Genomic DNA, 18,580 nt, shown 5'->3' with positions numbered 1-18,580 from the left:
TGGTCATGAGGTCATGACGCATCTCTGAGAGCAGGTGGGCTGGCAAGGTGGCAGCAGAGGATGAAGAGCAGGTGGGGTCCCGAGAAAGAGGGAGAGGTGAGATGCAAAATGATCTCTGAGCAAAGCCTGGTTTTGAGATCAGCTATGATGATATATCAGATCTGCTAGGGGAGCTGGGTGCAGTGGCTCAAGCCTGTAATCCCAGGTGGGTCTATCATTTGAGGTCAGGAGTTTGAGACCAGCCTGGCCAATATGGTGAAACCCCACCTCTACTAAAAATACAAAAATTAGCCAGGCATGGTGATGGGCACCTGTAGTCCCAGCTATTCGGGAGGGTGAGGCAGGAGAATCTCTTGAACCCGGGAGGCGGAGGTTGCAGTGAGCCGAGATCGCATGACTGCACTCCAGCCTGGGTGACAGAGTGAAACTCTGTCTAAAAAAAAAAAAAAGAGATCTGCTAAGGGAGCTAAAGACGGGAAGGACCCACAGCCGCAATAGCTGTGTTGAAAGGGGTAGATGAAGGTAAAATTGCTTTTCTCTTAAAAAAAATCCCTTTGTGACATTGTGATGTTGTAACATTGGGTTAATAAGGAGTAATGTTCAAAGACTTGACAAAAGAACACATTCATTAATTCAACAAGTATTTACTAAGCACAGTCTATGTGCAAGGTGCTGTTCCAGGCACTGGGGATACAATATTGGAGAAGAAGGAAGTCACTGGCCTCATGGAGTTTCTTTTCTAGTTGAGAAGACATAAGAAAGAACTAAGCAAACAAAAATGCACTGTGCTTTCATTTACAGATAATTACTGTGGAGAACAAGAAGGCACTGTAAGGCGGTAGAGAGTATCTGAGGCTGATCAGAAACAGGATGACCTGGAAGGGCCACTCAAGGGAGGTGACATTTTCTCTGAACAAAGTGAGGACCCAGTCTTTCGAAGTCCTGAGGAAAGATCATTTCCGATGGAAAGACTGGGTCCTGAGGCAAGAACAGGCTTGCACGCTGAGGGACAATAATGAGGTCAGTATGGCTGGAGAGAGTAGTGATGGAGAGTTGGCATGGGATCTGCTGGTTGGGTCGTGATAAAGACTGCAATTTTCAATCCAAGGAGGATGGGTCAATCTGAGAGTTCCAAGCAGAGGAGTAACATGATCTGACTTAAGCCTTTACACCTGCAGGGGTAAGAGAAGAGGAAGGGAGACCAACTGGGAGGCTGCTGCAATAGCTCAAGTGGGAGGGCAGCGGGCTGGATAGGATGGTGGCAGTGGATGCAGTGAGCAGGGCCAGGATGTACTTAAATGGACAGCTGACAGGGCTGGCTGATGCGGGGATGTGGAGGGCAGAGGAAAGAAAGGAATCCAGGATGATTCCTAGGGTCTGGGCTTCCTCGGTGAAGCTGTGGTGGTGCCACTCACTACGATGGGGTGACTTGGGGAAGAACTCAAGAGTTATGCTTTCGACATGCAAGGTTTGAGATGCCAATTAGATATCCCAGAAGAGGTGGGGAAATGAGTTTGACTCAGGAGAAGTGTTCGGTCAGGAGGTATCAATTGTGTAGCCCTCAGCTTATGGGTGGTAGCTAAAGCCGCAGGACCCAGTGAGGTCACAAAGGAACTGAGCCTAGATGAGGAAGAAAAAAGGGTCAAGTTTAGATGATGAGGAGGCACCAGCAAAAGAGACTGAGAAAGAGTGGGCAGGCAAATGGAAGAAAGACCGGGTAAGTGTGCTGCCCTGGAGTGTAAGAGGAGAGGGGCTTTCAAGAAAGGAGACAATATGCATTTGAATGAGACCTAGAAAGTGAGAAAAATAGCATTGTATAACAGTTTGACTTGGAGAGGGTCATCAGGTTTGTGGACAATTAAAAAGTGTCTTCACTTTTGATTTCTGTGAATGCCATTATGATGTTGTTAGTGAGACCCATAACATGAAAAAGGTGTGTAAGCACAATTCAGAGATTAATTTGAAAATGACCAACACAATCAACCATTTCTGTTGCCCGGAAGTTTGGCCGTGGCCCCCTTCTCAAGAGGCATCTCACCCTGAGGATGCATCTGCTCCACTTGGAGCCTGATGATGGAGTTTCCCCTTCTCATCAAATTCATTCTTATCTGCTGTGGTATCTCTCATTTTCCTTGTTCCCAGGCACAATGAAGGGCAGGATTAGAGTGCAGGGGCCAGCCATGCCCTCCCGGGAGACTGGCCCCTAGCGCTGCCGGAGGGCAGAGAGTGGCACATGGCTCAGCCTTTGGCACTCAGGTAAGACAGCTCTTGGGAGACATGGCCTCCCTCATGTCTCCGAGCCCATGTGTCTAGGCCGAGACATAGGGACATAGTCTACTGGAGGTATTAGGTTCATATCTGGTGATGCTGTTGATTCTCCCTCCGGATCTGGCTGAAGAGGAACCACCGCAGCCCTCATTTTACTGCCATGCTTGTTCCTGCTTTCCTTCCGTGGTCACTGGACTTGTTCCATGGAGCAGCTCTCCCCACCCAGCCTACAGGAAGGCATGGAAGGTGGTACCTGGGAACTGCAGATGGTGATTTAGGTCATGGGGGCTCTGCTGTGGCCCCAATGCTCCAGATTAAGGCAACTGGCCAGTCATTCCTGCAATGCTTAAATTTATTCATCTTTGAAACAGTACTGAAGGTACTCCTCTTTCCCAGAGAAAGGAAGAGATGCAATGATTATATTGTGTTAAAAACTGGTCCACGATCACCAGAAACTTTTCTACTCCTGTAAGATGCTGTGTGGAGGAGCAGCAGGGTATGCTTAGAAAGAGTCCTGGACTGGAAGTCAGAGGACTGAGGTTCGAGCCTGAGCTCCATCACCACCAAGCTATGTGAACTTGGTCAAAGCAGGGACCTCCTGATATCTCAGTGGTAAAACAAGGTCATGATTCTTGTTTCATTCCTTTCCCAGGAATACAGTGAGAATTGAGTGAGATAAGCTGATGGCTAGGCTTCTAAACTGCAGAGCTGGGTTCCAGACACCCTAGACCACCCCCCCAAAAGGTGGAGTCTGATCTTGTGTTGGGGACTTTGCATATGCTGCTCCCTCTGAAAGGCCCTTCTCTCCTCCTCTTCTACCTAGAAAATACTCACCCTTCAAGACCCAACTTAAAAGTCATTCTCCAAGAAGCTTATCCAAAGCAAAACAAAGGATTTCCTCCTCTGTGTTTCTGCATCATTCATTCATTCATTGACAGGGTCTCACCCTCTTTTCCAGGCTGGAGTGCAGTGGTGCGATCTCAGCTTACTGCAACCTCTGCCTCCTGGGCTCAAGCAATCCTCCTACCTCAGCCTCCAGAGTAGCTGGGACTACAGGCATGTGCCACCATGCTCAGCTAATTGTGTGTGTGTGTGTGTGTGTGTGTGTGTGTGTGTGTGTGTGTATGAGGTCTTATCATGTTACCTAGGCTGGTGTTGAACTCTGGGCCTCAAGCCTCAGCCTCCCAAAGTTCTGGGATTATAGGCATGAGCCACTGCGCCCAGCTCTTATCCCTTATAGCACATACCATGTTTTTTAGAGTCAGTGGCTTATGTGTCTGTTTCCCTCATGAGATTGTGAGGTCCCAGAGGCCAGGGTTATTATATCTTGCTCATCTTTATGCCCCAAGTGTCTAAAACAGTAGGTACTGAAGGATCATATGTTTAACAGATCCAAATCACTGAGAAACTGTGACATAAACTAACCTCCTATTCAGACCTAAGAAACCACAGGCATCCCCATCCACAGAAACCTGAACACGTTCTATTTCCAAGCCCTGGCTCCGTCTTTGGAAGATGGCTGCCGCTGCAGAAAAACCAGAAAAGGACAGAACACATATGGCCAGCAGCATTATTTTCAGAGTCCAACACCAAAGTCTAACCTCAGAGGGGAAAACACCTTCCTGAGGCCACACATAGCCTCAGAGAACCTGAACCAGGACAACAGCTCAGATTTCTTAACTACCAAACTCACACAGTTTTTCCGATAACTCCAACGCATTGAGTGACGCAGAAAAAAATTGAGTATGGTTTTAGACCTTAATCAACAGCTTAGGCTAATAAAGAAGATAGATGCGGATCAAATCTGGAAGTGATTCGAAGCAGAGAGCAGAAAGCAATACATAAAAGTAGACCACAGAATCAGGATTAGAAAATATTTGGTAGGCTCTAACAGGAGACCCAAACCAACAAGATAAAATGTAACAGGAATAAATACAAAGTCCTGTATTTAGGCTAAAAAAATCAACTATATAAAATCAAAGATGGGGAGGTGGAACTGTATGCTTAGAAATGGTTAAGATGGTAGGCTGGGCGCGGTGGGTCACGCCTGTAATCCCAGCACTTTGGGATGCCAGGGTGGGCAGATCACAAGGTCAGGAGTTCGAGACCAGCCTGATCAACATGGTGAAACGACGTCTCTACTAAAAATACAAAAATTAGCTGGGTGTGGTGGCACATGCCTGTAATCTCAGCTACTCAGGATGCTGAGGCAGGAGAATTGCTTGAACCTAGGAGGCAGAGTTTGCAGTGAACCAAGATTGTGCCACTGCCCTGCAGCCTGGGCAACAGAGTGAGACTCCATCTCAAAATAAATAATAATAAATAAATAAATAAATAAATAAATAAATAAATTAAATAAATAAGAAAAGAAATGGTTAAGACAGTAAATTTTATGTTATGCATTTTTTACCACGATAGAAAAATATAAAAAAGCCAACCAAAAGTTTTATTAGGGAATTCTATTTTGACAAATAATGTAAACTGGAAATCCGCTTTTCTACTTCATATTGGATAGTCAGCTAAAGCAGTTCAATTGCGCAAAGATATGCTCCACTTTTAAGACCATCTGCTACAAGGTGGAACCTCATGAAGACTGCTTTCAGCAATACCAACAACCAACCTCAAACTGGAACCAAGAATAGAAATAATCATAGCTGATACATAAAGCAATTAAAAATGCGTGTGCATATTTTAAGATACTTTACCATCAAAATTGCTGTGAGAATTAAATGAGGGATTCGTTTTGTTTTGTGTGATAATGATATTGTGCTTAAGAAGGAAAATGTCTTCATGTTTTAGAGATGCATATTCCCTTATTTAGGACTGAAATGTTATAATGCCTGTAATTTAAAAGAAAATATTCCAGTAATGAGAATGGCAAGAATTTGATGGTTGCTGAGAAGGGGTGATGAGTGCTTGGGGGCTCATTGTATTAGTCTCTCATTTTGTGTTTGTTTAAAAATGTCCAGAATAAAAAGATATTGAAAATAAATGTATAAATAAAATACTTCGGAAAAATAGATGAAGCAAATATGGCGAAATGTTCATTATTGAATCCAGATGATGGATATGTGGCTGTTCATTGAAGTTTCTTTTCCTTTTTCTGTATGTCTGAAATTTTTCAAAATAAAAGTTGAAAAGGTTCATTGAGGGAACATTTGAAAGCACCTGGCCCTGTGCCTGGTGCAGTCAGTGCTGAAATAAATGTCAGTGGACTTTTCCTTCCTCCCCATATACTGGCCTGGAAGTGAAGCAGGCTTAGCCTACAGCTCCAAAGAGCAGAACAATGGTAGAAGCTGTGGGGAAGCAGGCCTCCTTTCAGCATAAGGAAGAACTCTGTAAAAAGTGTACCTGTCCACAGTGAAACCTGCAGCGTCACAGAGCTCCCCATCCTCAGGAATATTCAAGCGGAGGCTGCTTATTTCAGGGCTGTTACAGAACTGATGTTTGAATTGATGAGTCAATTTGATAGCGTCAAAGGGGATCTCAAGTGACCTCCCAAATTCCCTCCATCTGCTGAAGTCTTAGGATTCAATGCATTTGATTGAAACGTACCAGGACTTTTTCTTTCCCTCCCAGAATCTTGTCACTGTCTACAGCATCTGCAAAGAGAGGCACAGGGAGGACCAAAGAACTCTCTTCACCATTTCCCTGGGTCCTGTTGGTTCTGTATACAAATAAAAGATTAAGTACACAGAAGGGAGGGGTAGGGCAGAAAGGGCTCACAAAGGAAGTGCCAGAATTCCCTGTCTGGAGGTCTTGGGAGCAAATGGATGAGATCTGTGCCAAGTAGGAAGGGCCAACAGCTGGGATCTCTCCAGGCCTCTTTTGGTTCTCATGGACCCCTGGGAATCTCTGGGCCAGGAGGCCTCAATGGCAAGAAAGTAGGAGAGGGCATATGCCCAGGAACTCTGGCTCATAAGGCTGGGAGGGAATGCAGGAGATCATCCAGGCCTTTGGGAAGATGTGGTTTTATTATTCACCTCATTTTACAGGTGAGGAAACTGAGCCTGAGACCGAACAAGGGTAAGTGATTGCACAAAGTGAAAGAGCTTTTAAAGCATGCAGGTATGTGGGGAATGATCCTCAGGGGGAGGCAAACAAACAAACAAACAAAACACACACACACACACACACACACACACACACACACAAAACAACAAAAAAAAAAACCATGTCTCCAACCCCAAAGCACTGTTTTCTTCCCACTCTGGCAAGACTCCATTCTTGGAATCTTTTCTGTTTTTTTGAGACAATGTCTCACTCTGTCATCCAGGCTGGAGTGCAGTGGTGCAATCATGGCTCACAGCAGCCTTGACCTCCCCGGCTCAAGCAATCCTCCCACCTCAGCCTTTCCAGTAGGTAGGACCACAGGTGTGCTACCACAACTGACTAATTTAAAAAAAAATTGTAAAGACAGGGTCTCACTATGTTGTCCAAGCTAACCTGGAACTCCTGAGCTCAAGCAATCCTCCTGCCTCGGCATCCCAAAGTGCTGGGATTACAGGCATGAGTCACCGTGCGAGGTTCTGGCATCTCAAACTCGGAGAATGTCTGAGGACTCATCGAAGACCCAACTTAACCCCCCAACGCCAGCATATCCCTGCTCCCACACAGTGCCCAGGACTGTGCATCTCCACCAAACAGCTCCCAGTGAGAAGCCAAGCTGCAGTTGGAGGGATTTGGGTTAAACATGAGAACATCTAGGTCCACAGAATTTGAATTAAGTGATCAAGAGAGTAAAAGGCACACTAAAATTCTGGGGAGCCCCAGGATTCCAATACAATCTCCTTAGGCCAAGACGGCCATAATACCCAATGAAGTGCTGCAGAGGAAAGTCCAAGGATCCTAATGGAGGAGGTGCCCAGTGTCAAAAGCAGCCTCCGCCTCCACCTCTCCTCCCCTTGGCATCTGTGGACACCGTGGATGCCCACCAACAGTGACCTGAGCTCCCTGGCCAAGCCCCTAACACCAGGAGCTAGGCGTGGGGCCCCTAGGAGGGTCCTGCTTTCCCACCTCCAAGATGAGCCAACAGCCCAGGCTAGAAGGCTGATTTGCATAGCTTTGGCAGCCCTGGGATGTGAGTTTGCCTGGGGAGCAATTCTCTGGGTGAGGGAGGTGGAAGCCGGAGAACTGTTCAAGCAGGATTTTTCACTTCTGCCTGGTAAACAATGGAGAGAACATTCGGCAATGGGGCCGAGCCTCTCCCATCTCTGGTTCTCTTCTCACCAGCTCTACTTTCCAGTATAACCCAGTAAGACTTCTAGTGACACTAGCACCTTGCTGGCATTTCCTGGGAGAGCAACCATTAAGCTACTGGGACCTTGGAAGCGCTCCTCAGCAGCCAGCCACCAGAACAAATGGAGAAGCTTCCAGCGTGGTCATTTAAACCAGCCCAAAACAAGTTTTTTCCAGGATGCCCCCAGACATTATGCCTACATTTTTTGGTACTTGAGATTCATCCAAGGAACTGGGAAGTGTGGCCTAATGGTCAGAGTTCTGTCCAGAAAATGCACAGTAAACTGGGTTCTAGGGTCACTTTGGAGGCTGTTTCATGCTCAACTTTGGCAAGTGGCTTAATCTCCGTAGCCTTCAACTTCCTCTAAACATTATATTAAAACAAAAAGTTGCTGTCTCCATTCCTGCCACCTCCTTCTTAGGAGTGAGGAAATATCCAGGAGAAGCCTGAAAGCAATCCTTGAAGCCACCTGAAGAATAGGACCCAGGAGGCCCCATGAGGGACTGTGGGAAGAGCACTGGTTTAGGAGTTGGGAGGTCTGAGTCTTATTTCTCCACTAGCTGAGAGTCCTGGGTCAAGCCAGGGTGTGGATAGCAAATGCAAAGACACCGCGTGTGTGCAAGCCATGCCCAAGGCAGACATCACTAATGGATCCTGGCTTTCCCTTTTTCTTTCCTAAACTCAGGGCTCACCGACCACTAGAGGTGACCAGAATTAGTGCTCCTGAAGACACTCACTTGCTACTCCAAGACTGGATGATCTGTCAGGTTCTCTCTACCCCTGACAGTCTGTGGATTGGGGAGTTTTCATGGTTTAAAGCTCATACCTCTCTACCCAGAGAAGAGTCAACATCACCAACCTCAGGGCTTCCTTGTGACGTGGACTATAGGGCATTCTGATGACTTTCCTTCAAATGCACAGTCATGAAATCAAACCCTGAAGCCTGCTCTCCAGGCCGGTCCCACAGATACCAGGAGGCTAGGGCCATGCCACAGGGGACAGAGGAGCTCTGCTGCACCCACCTTTGCTACAGAGGAGCCCAGCATCCCCTCAGCTTCCCACTGCAATTTTTCATGTCATTTTTTGAGAAAGGGAAGGTTCCTCAGCAAGGTCTCTTTGTTCGTTAGGAAATACAACCCACATTTCTTCTCAGTCTGAGATGGGGCCCTCTGGGCTTCCCATGCAACAGGAGATCCCTGCCTCAACCCCATCCCCTGTTGGCCACACACTGATGCTGCAGTCATAGAGCCAGGGGCAAAAGTGGCAGCATGGTCAGGGCTAAGCAGAAGGAGCACCCTGAGCAGACGGCACCAGGTTTCAGAAAAAAGTGTCCAGGCACTCAGGCCACTGCTGCAAGGAACGGGGCCAAAAGATCCAAGTTCCCAATCAAAACCTTGACTCATAATCCCCCAGCCTTGGAAAAATAGTAAAAGTCCAACTTCAAAGGAAGTTAAATAAGAGCTCTGTTCTAGTTGCACCCAAAAACACATCTCAGAGAAACGCCCCACCCAGACGCTATTTTTCTATCAGAGCTTTTTTGTGCTAGAGAGGAACCAGAGACTCCTTGCTCTGGACCCACCATTTACAGGTAAGGAAACTGAGTCCCAGAAAGGACAAGCCATGTGCTAAAAGTCATGCGACCAGCAAATGGCAACTCAGGGACAAAATCTCTGAGCTCCAATGCCCAGACTTGACTATGTTCATGACAGCCCATGGAGTTCTTTAAACACTGATTCCAGACCAGCACCGCTCCAGCCTTACCCCAGCCTTGCCAGAGGAAGGGGCTCAGAGAGGTTTAAGGTTAGTAAGAGTCCAAGGGGCTCTTTCCTAGTCCTCTCCCCCAGGGTGAGGAAAGTGGGGGTGAGAAGGGGTAGAGAGCGAAAGAGCAGGGGGAGCTACCAGAGGTGCAAGATTCAGCTGGGCGCTGGCTCTCACGTGGTCACAAAGATGTGCTTAGTGCAGCTCAGAGGGGCGCGTGTGGAGTGAGAAAGCTTACACCTAGAGATGCTATCTCACATTTGTAAAGCAACTCACACTTGAAAACTGCTACAGATAGACTCATTTCATTCATTCCTCACAATACATCTTACGCATAAGGAAACTGAGGCTGGAAGAGCTTATGTAACTTGCCCAAGGTCATTTGCTCCAGAGCTGGAGAGAAAGAACTCAGAGCTCCAAGTTCTGGCTCCAAGGTCCATGTGCTGGCCACCAAAATGCATGGTTCATTTGCACCAAAATGCCTGGCTCAAATGCAGTTGTTCCTTCGTTTTGCAGCACACTTCCATGTCCATTTCTTGTTTGATCCTCACCCTGCCTGTGAGGTCTGCAGGGCCGGAATTACAGAAATCCTGTGTTACCACTGAGCAAAGTGAGGCTCAGAGGGGTCAGGGCTTGTCAGAGAGTGGAGATGCCATGTCCTTTCCATGACGTGGTGTGACGCTGCCAGGGTCACACTCTCCCCTCCTCTCTGGAGTGGTGTCCCCAGGGCTGGAGTGCAGGGGAAAGGTGCACTCAGAGGCCCTGAGAACAGAGCAAAAACCCTTGTGGAGGAGCCAGTGAGAAGCTAGAGCCGCGGGACCCCAGGCCAGGGTCACAGAGAGCCCCTGAAAGTGAGAATTGAAGGGTATGGTGACCCCGAGATGTGGCAGGAGCAGGTCACGTGGTGCCGGGCCACTTCTGAGGGAAGGGTGGTAGGCGGAGGGGAAGCTCTGTCCAAGGAAAGAACAAAATAGCAGAAAGGAACAAAACCAAAGCAAAGGACAGAGGACCTGTTTCTGGGGCAGGGAAAGGGTCCTAAGGAAACGTGGGTCTTGAACTCCCGCTGTGACCTTGGGAAAATCATCCCCCTTCTCTGACCCCAGTCTCCTCCCCTATAAAATAGGAAAATAGGGCAAGATCAGAGAATTTTCCAACACTTTGGCAGCAGAACACTGTTTTCAAATAATAAGGATTAATTAGTAGCTGACATTTATTGAGCATTTACTACGCACCAAGCTTTGTAGTAAACATTTTATACACAGGACAGTATTTAATCCTCACAACTACCCTATGAGTGGGTGTTCTTATTATCCCCATTTTACAGATGAGGAAACTTGAGGCTCAGAATGGTTAATTACCTCGCCTAAGGTTACTGATTAATAAATCACTGAGTAGAGACTGAAACCCACATCTGTCTACCAGCAAAGGCTGTCCATACTACACCATGTTATCTCCAAATGAAACCTCATATGAAGTTGCTGCAGAAACTCTATGGGAAAAAAAGACTTTTAGATCTTCTGGAACTACAACATCTAGTCTCCGTGAATCTGCACCATCTCTTAGCACTGGGTCCTGGGAGGAGGGGGTGCTTCCACCAGCTCCCTCCCCTTCTTCCTGCCATGTTCCTACTTCCTAAGAAGCAAAGACAAACTTGAGTTAGGATCAACATGAGGAGCCCACAGTGGGTTAATGTGACAGATGCATCTCCCTGGGTGGCAGAGTGGGCTTCTTGTGGGGTGACAGTCACTGAAGTATGCTTCCAACTCGAGAGTCCTGGACATGTGTGGACACGACAGTGTGCTGACCACGAGTGAATGTATAGGCAAGTCTTCCTGGAAAACAGGCCATATTTCTCACTGAGGCTCCCTGGAGTGGCTGGTGGTCACAGCACCCACCACTTGGACACTTTGTCCTGCTGATACTAATAATAGCAAATAGCATTATCATCTGGCAGGCGCTCTTCTAAGTGCTTTACAAATGTTGACTTGTGTAATCCTCACAGCAGCACTATGAGGTAGGGACTATCATTAATCCTGTTTTATAAAGGAAGAAACTGAGCAGATAGCCTTTAAGTAACTACCCCAAAGTCAGAACAGAGGAGCCCTTCTCAACACATCAGAGACACTTAGGGGTGCAGCAATTCACACTGCTCAAACAGCCTTACAAATACTAACTGATGTGTGAAAAGGATTGGAGTGTGTTCACAGACCCCAGCATCTCAGAGCTGGAAGTTGTTTTAGAGACCCTCAGATTCAGACCCTTCGTCTTATGCACAAACTCCAGCCGAAAGAGGGACGGTAACTCAGGTGAGTTCGCAGGTTTGTGATAAAGATGAGTCCAGAATCCATCTGTCCTCACACCTCCTCCGCCAAACAAGAAAGTGCAGGGATTATTCCCCAGTCTCGCTGAGGGACAACCTGAGATGATCAGTCCAAGGTCACCAGAGGGAGGAAGGCATGAACCCAGCCCCAGAATTCACGCAGTGGTCCTTCCCACGAACTCAGATGTCCTCAGGACACTGAGGGGCTAAATGGAGCCCAGGTGCAGGAAGGGACGGAGACCCAGCCGGCTCTCCTGTGAGGCAGAAGTTATAACACCCAGCCCAGCGCCGACTCCTCCAACCACCCCCAGCTCTCCAGGGTCCCGTGGAGATGGGGTGGGAAGGGAGCCAGTCAAGTACACACCTCCCTTTGATAACCTGGAGCCCTGGAGCCGACATTTGCCAGCAGGCTTAACCCCTTTTGTCCACGCTTCCCTCCTCAAGAAAACCTTAATCATCCTCATTTGAATTTCAAATGACCTCTCCCCCTCCCCACCCCAACAGGCTTTGAGGCAGGGATATGGAAATTCACCCTGCAGTATGGAAATCATCGCCCTATGCAAATTGGGCGCCGAGACCCCATCGTCATAGCAACCACCCAGTTTCCTCTCCTTTCCGCACCTCTCTGGGCTCCCCGGCTTCGATTTTTCGTTCCTTTTTCCAGCCCAAGCAGCTGAAGGGAAGGCAAGCCCCCTACTGGGGCAGGTGGAGTGTCCCCAGCTGAGGTGCCCAGTGGGGTCCAGATACGCCAGCCTACCTGCCCACACCTCTCGTACAAACCTGGACTGGGCACACCCAGGCAAGGCCAACCGCTGGTTTTTCTGGCTGGGCTAAGCCAAGGGTGGGCTAGGCTGTGGTGGGGAAGACTGGGAGTCTGGGGGAGACCACGAGGCCCCCAGAGGTGGCAGGCAGGAAAGGAGACACATGGGGGGCTTTGGTGGTGCCAGTGGTAGGAGATGAAAGGCAGTGTGTGGAAGCTGTATGTAAAATGCCATGCAAATGAACACCTATTATTTTTTGAGTCAACAACAGCACTGATGCTTTTGGGAGATGCCTGCAGCTGTTTCCCATGCTCCTGGCTTGGCACAAAGGCCTGCCCTCCCTGAGTCTCCCAGGGATCTGCTGTTACCCCAGGAGCGCCCACCAGCAAGCTCACCAGTCCAGGGAGAGCCCAGGTGGGCACTTTGAACTCTTGGTGTCTGAAGCCCATAGGAATGAAACCCAGCCACTTATGAGGGCTCTGGTCACACATCCTGCCCTGTCCTGCCAGACCCCCAGGCTCCAATGTGGGAGAACCCCAGAAGCCCCTGTTGGGGTGACCTCATGCCGCTTTCCTTTTAAGTACTCTCAGCTTGACTCTGGCCCTCTTCCTCCAAACCAAAGCCTATGAGGAATGGGGATGAGAGGAAGGGCTCCTGCTTTTCCCCCTTTCCACTTCTTCACCTCCTAGACAGTCCTAGGAGTGGGTCATCCTGGGCAAGCCCTTCCGGGGGGAAGTGGTCTCCACAGACCCATAACAAATGCTGGCCCCAAACTCCAACTTGTCATCTCCTCTGCCCCTCCTGTAGTTTCACAAACTTCCTCAAGCACCCAATTCTGCCTTGAAAGAGCAACCTCGACCAGAAAAGAGACTGCCTCTAGGTGCACCCCCAACTCTGGGGTCTGAAGTGTATGTCTGCTTGTCTATGCGGGTGCTTGGGGGCTGGGTTGGGACAGACTGTAGCTGCATGTCAGTTGCCTGGGTTCTGGCTGCCCTTCAAGGCCCTAAGACTTGTCTAATTTGAACGCTCATTTCTTTCTAAATTCTTCCTCCACTTTTTCAGCACTTTTCCACATTCAGGTGTTCATCGCCCTAATCGTTTCTGAGGGAGGAAGGTGAACCCAAGGTACATAAAGGATTTACTCCCAGCTTGGGGCTGGGGGAGTCTGCAATTTTGGGTGCCTTAGTGAAGGGCTGAGGCTCAGAAAGCTGCAGTGGCCTGAGTCTCTGGATGCTGCTCAGTCTTCCAGTCTGCAGGGTAGGTGGGTGTCATGCCACCCCGGTCAGCAAAGGACAGACTGGGACCTCCCTCTCCTGCTGGGTCTCCCATCATCATCCCCCAACATCTCCAGGGAGGGAGTGAGAGGAATGGTAAGGAGGTCATACGAAGATGTACCCAGGGTCAGGTGGAGCCATTGCTCACGGAGGCCACAGGAAAGAGACTTTCTAATACACAACGCAAACTCCACTAAGGTAGTGCACCACAAGGCATGAGCCACCGCACCCGGACAGCTACCATTGTCTTATGTCCTCTGTCCCTGGTTCTCCACGTTGACTCCCAGTCTTCCTACCACCATCTTTAGGTAGAAAGTCCCCGCAACGACCAAAGCTGGTCTGTGCACTGTGGAGGTCCAGGACCAGCTACGGACAAAGAGTGAGTATAAGAACTTAGAAATGTTGGCTGGGTGCGGTGGCTCATACCTGTAATCCTAGCACTTCGGGAGGCCGAGGTGGGCGGATCACCTGAGGTCGGGGTTCGAGACCAGCCTGGCCAACATGGTGAAACTCCGTCTCCACTAAAAATACAAAAATTAGCCAGGCATGGTGGCACATGCCTGTAGTCCCAGCTACATGGGAGGCTGAGGCAGGAGAATCGCTTGAACCCGGGAGGTGGAGGTTGCAGTGAGCCAAGACTGTGCCACTGCACTCCAGCCTGGGTGACAGAGTGAGACTCCATCTCAAAAAAAAAAAAAAATTAAAAATGTTAATAGCACATCCAAGCACTCCATCAGTGGGCCCTCCAGCTGAATTGGGTGTGAGCCATTTGGTGCTGTTGAGTACGCATGGTAAGTGCAAGCTGCAGGCTGTCGGGCACAGTAGGTCTGGGTGCATGTCTGTGACAGGCTGGAAATATAAACACTGGTCCTCCTCCCAGACTGTTTGAGAAGCAGTGCTCTAAAGAATGACCACTCATAAACTAAGGGAACTCTGGGTGGTAAAAGATGGCTTATGGATGCCTCCCACACCAGGCTCCCCCTCCTTTTTCCCCTCTTACGTTGAACAGAAAAGGAGTCCAAGTTCTACTGGGGGCTGCAAAGGTGGCAACTGGGGTCGAGGGGTGACCATTTCCTTAAGGAGATCTCCAAGAGGAAGAGGGAATGGTGTCGGGCAGGGCTAGCCAACTCCTCACGGCTCATCTGAACCATACAATCCTGCCACCTCTGCTTACCCTAGTCCTGGGTGTTGGCGTGGGAATCTATGGATGAGAAAGTATCTGTAGTTGTAAGTCATGGTACGGATGTGAGCTGCTGCTGTGGCTGCTTTATTTGATAAGGTTCTCTGAGTGCTGGAGGCAGAGAAGCAAATCCTGGCACCACAGGCTGTTCTGCGATCTCTGGCACATGGAGCCACAGTCTGCAGGCTGAGTGGCGAATCAGTACTTACTAATTTCCCTGTCACAGAAAGCAGAAACAAGGTGGGGTGGGAGCCACTCTGAGAAGGGCAGAACAAGGCTGGGTGCGGAGGCTCATGCCTGTAATCCCAGCACTTTGGGAGGCCGATGCAGGCAAATCACTTGAGGTCAGGAGTTTGAGACCAGCCTGGCCAACACGGTGAAACCCCGTCCCTACTAAAAATACAAAAATTAGCCAGGCGTGGTGGTGGTGGGCCTGTAATCCCAGCTACTGAGAAGGCTGAGGCAGGAGAATCGCTTAAACCTGGGAGGCGGAGGTTGCAGTGAGCCAAGATCGTGCCATTACACTCTAGCCTGGGCAACGAAGCAAGACTCCATCTCAAAAAAAAAAAAAAAAAAGAAAAGCAGAACAAGAGGTAATGGGCTTATGCAGCAGCATGAGGGTCTTAGGTGAGAGATAAGAAAGGACTTCCAGGCACTGAGGATGGCATCCTGTAGGAATAGGCAGCCAAGGCCAGGCGCGGTGGCTCACGCCTGTAATCCCAGCACTCTGGGAGGCTGAGGAGGGTGGATCATGAGGTCAAGAGTTCAAGACCAGCCTGACCAACATGATGAAACCCTGTCTCTACTAAAAATACAAAAAATTAGCTGGGTGTGGTGGCACACACCTATAATCCCAGCTATTCGGGAGGCTGAGGCAGGAGAATTGCTTGAACCCTGGAGGCAGAGGTTGCAGTGAGCTGAGATCATGCCACTGTACTCCAGCCTGGGCGACAGAGCAAGACTCTGTCAAAAAAAAAAAAAAAAAAAAAGGCAGCCAAGAGAAAACGTGGGGTTGGTTTTTCTTAGAGATATAAAATAGACAAAAAATAAGTCTCTAAGAAAGCAGCTTCTCTCATTTTCCAGGGATGGGTTTGAAATGTCTCCAAAAGAAGAGAGAGGCATGGACAAGATGTCCTCTCAGGAATTCATAGCAGGAATATCAGGACCCCCTCCATGTCTGGGGGGGACTACAGTTTCATTCCTCTCTTCCAGAGAGGTGAGGGATGGAGCCAGTACAGACTGAGGTGCAGATCCTAGAGGCTACCTAGCCCACTGCTTCATTTTATTCCTGCACTACCCTTCTCCTTCTATTACGATGAAGAAATTCAAGTCCTGGGCACAAGTGCATGCAGGACTTAATGATGGACTGTGAAAATTGTACTCCATCATACAAATACAGTTCAGACTTGCTCTGTCATTTAATCATAAAAAGGGAGGGAGAGTGTGTGTGCGTGTGTGTGTGTGCGCACGCACAGGCTCACACATGTGCTTCATCTAGAGATGGTTGTCAGCCGGGCATGGTGGCTCACACATGTAATCTCAGAACTTTGGGAGGCCATGGTGGGAGAATTGCTTCAGGCCAGGAGTTCAAGACCAGCTTGGGCAACATAGCAAGATCCTGGCTCTACAAAGAGATAATTTAAAAAAATTAGCTGGGCATAGTGGTGCATACCTGTAGTCCCAGTTACTCCAGAGGCTGAGACAGGAGGATCACTTGAGCATAGGAGTTCAAGGTTGCGGGGAGCTATGATCACCCTACCACACTCTAGTGTAAGTGACAGAGTGAGACCCTGTTTTTTTTTTTTTGAGACGGAGTTTTGCTCTGTCACCCAGGCTGGAGTGCAGTGGCGCGATCTCGGCTCACTGCAACCTCTGCCTCCTGGCTTCAAGCAATTCTCCTGCCTCAGCCCCCTGAGTAGCTGGGATTACAGGTGCCCACTACCACGCCCGGCTAATTTTTTGTATTTTTAGTAGAGATGGGGTTTCACCATGTTGTCCAGGTTGGTCTTGAACTCCTGACCTCAAGTGATTCGCCTGCCTTGGCCTCCCAAAGTGCTGGGATTACAGGCATGAGCCACCGCGCCCAGACAGCTACCATTGTCTTATGTCCCCTGTCCCTGGTTCTCTACGTTGACTCCCAGTCTTCCTACCACCATCTTTAGGTAGAAAGTCACTAGAAAGACTCAGGCTTAGTTCTGTCATTCTCTAGGTATGGGAGCTTGGGAAAAGTAGCTAAGGTTCTTTCTCATCACCAGCCTCCATTTCTCCATCTGTGAAGTAGGCTAATAATACCTGCTCTCATAGAGTTGTTGTAAAGGCCAAATGCATGAAGTATTTGAGAACACCCTTACAGACACATGTTGTCACTGTTATCCAGGCAGCCATGAATTCCTGCACTAGAAGGACAACTCCTTGAGGACAGGGATGCTCTTCATCTGAGCCCAGGATCTGCCACCAAGCCATCCTCCAAAGATGTTGGTTATACAACTACAAGCTAAGTCAAAGAGGATCGGAGCCCAAACAGAGAAGACAGCTGTGGGTGTCAGAGGAGAAAAGACTGAAAGGGAAGCTGGAAAGAAAGGAATGGGGAGAAAACCAGGAAAAAGGATGGAGAGAGAGAGCTCAGAGCTGAGGAAAGCTGCACAAAAATGCAAGATCTGGAAACAGATGGAAAGAATTGTGAAAAGCAGAACTGGGCACACATCCTTTAAAATTCAGCCTTTAAAGAGGATCTACTCCAAACCCCGCCTCTATGGGGAGGAAAATGAAGGTCCATGTGGGGAAACGCTTGCCAAGATAATATGCAGGGAGTTAATGGCAGACCTAGGATAAGAGTCTGATAGAGTCAGACAAGGCCAAGTTTGATTTCTGGCTATAAGCTGTGTGATATTGGGCAAGTTAGTTTCTCACTCTGAGCTATGGTTTCCTCATCAATGAAGATGGGGTTAATCGTGTCTCTATCTCATAGCCTTATTGTAAGAATTAAATGAGATGCTGTAAATAAAGTTGCCTACATGTGCCTGCTGTGGGAGGAGGCTCTGTGAATGTTACGATCTCTCCCTCCTTCCTCCTGACCCTCTGTTCTTTCCTCCCTTGTGATTGAGGCAATGATGTGGCCAGCATGGTCAAAAGTCACAGGGTTAGCCACATCTGCACTTGGGGGTTGTCAGTTACAGACCTGGGGGCTTTTGAAATATGGGTAAGGCTATATTCTCATCAACCACATAATTGAGAACAGAAAAAAATTGTTCTCAGCCTCAAGAGTGGAGAAAAGTCCCGGTGCGGTGGCTCATGCCTGTAGTCCCAGCTACCTGGGAGGCAGAGGCAGGAGAATCCCTTGAGCCAGGAGTTCGAGGCTGCAGTGGCCATGACTGCACCACTGCACTCCAGCCTGGGCGACAGAGGGAGAACCTGTCTCAAAAAAAGAAGTGGAGGAAAAGTAACAACAGATGAGGAAGCATTAGGTAGGAAGGACAGAAAAGCTGATAGTTCAGAAATCTAGAAAGAGGAAAGAGTACTGAACAGGGGCTCTGAGCTTTGGCTGGTCCCTTGTGCTGCTGCAAAGACATTCTGAGCTCGTGGGCAGCTTATTCTTCATCTATGCCTCGGCTTCCTCACAGGCCAAAGAAAGGAAAACATGTGCCCCCGGCCACGTCTCCACCAGCCAGGAGGTCTGTGTCTGGCCCTGAGAATGCTCCCCTGGGCATTCCTGACCAGTGCAGATGGGGAAATTTACCTCCCTTTCCCAGTTCTTACCCCCCAGTACCCCTTGGGGATTTC

At 48.8% G+C, this 18,580-nt stretch overlaps 1 protein-coding gene and 1 long non-coding RNA gene across 10 annotated transcripts in view, besides 3 other annotated features; one reads left to right on the top strand and one right to left on the bottom strand.

The window, feature by feature from the left end:
* Positions 1-18,580, bottom strand: part of POU2F3 (POU class 2 homeobox 3) — an 83,308-nt gene that overhangs the window by 52,363 nt on the left and 12,365 nt on the right. The window lies entirely within an intron of this gene.
* POU2F3-AS1 (POU2F3 antisense RNA 1) lies at positions 1,651-17,824 on the top strand. The gene is made up of 8 exons (NR_038829.1): positions 1,651-1,717; positions 2,143-2,256; positions 6,264-6,294; positions 10,590-11,571; positions 12,608-12,760; positions 13,409-13,471; positions 13,929-13,999; positions 17,178-17,824. It is a non-coding gene; the product is annotated as a POU2F3 antisense RNA 1 (long non-coding RNA).
* Positions 2,318-2,489: a silencer, noted in NCBI's record as "fragment chr11:120135803-120135974 (GRCh37/hg19 assembly coordinates)". NCBI's record gives its function as "represses an EF-1alpha promoter that drives an FKBP-Casp9 reporter gene in an ReSE screen in K562 erythroleukemia cells {active_cell/tissue: K562}" and the evidence as "EXISTENCE:reporter gene assay evidence [ECO:0000049][PMID:32094911]".
* Positions 11,949-12,243: an enhancer, noted in NCBI's record as "tiled region #564; K562 Activating non-DNase unmatched - State 21:Repr". NCBI's record gives its function as "activates a minimal TATA promoter and a strong SV40 promoter by Sharpr-MPRA in K562 cells {active_cell/tissue: K562}" and the evidence as "EXISTENCE:reporter gene assay evidence [ECO:0000049][PMID:27701403]".
* Positions 17,776-18,415: an enhancer, noted in NCBI's record as "H3K27ac-H3K4me1 hESC enhancer chr11:120119877-120120516 (GRCh37/hg19 assembly coordinates)". NCBI's record gives its function as "activates a minimal SCP1, AML or CMV promoter by ChIP-STARR-seq in primed H9 embryonic stem cells {active_cell/tissue: H9 hESC(primed)}" and the evidence as "EXISTENCE:reporter gene assay evidence [ECO:0000049][PMID:30033119]".

This window comes from Homo sapiens, chromosome 11 (assembly GCF_000001405.40).
Source record: "Homo sapiens chromosome 11, GRCh38.p14 Primary Assembly".
Classification (NCBI taxonomy): domain Eukaryota; kingdom Metazoa; phylum Chordata; class Mammalia; order Primates; family Hominidae; genus Homo; species Homo sapiens.
This window is presented reverse-complemented; position numbering and strand designations above follow the sequence as displayed.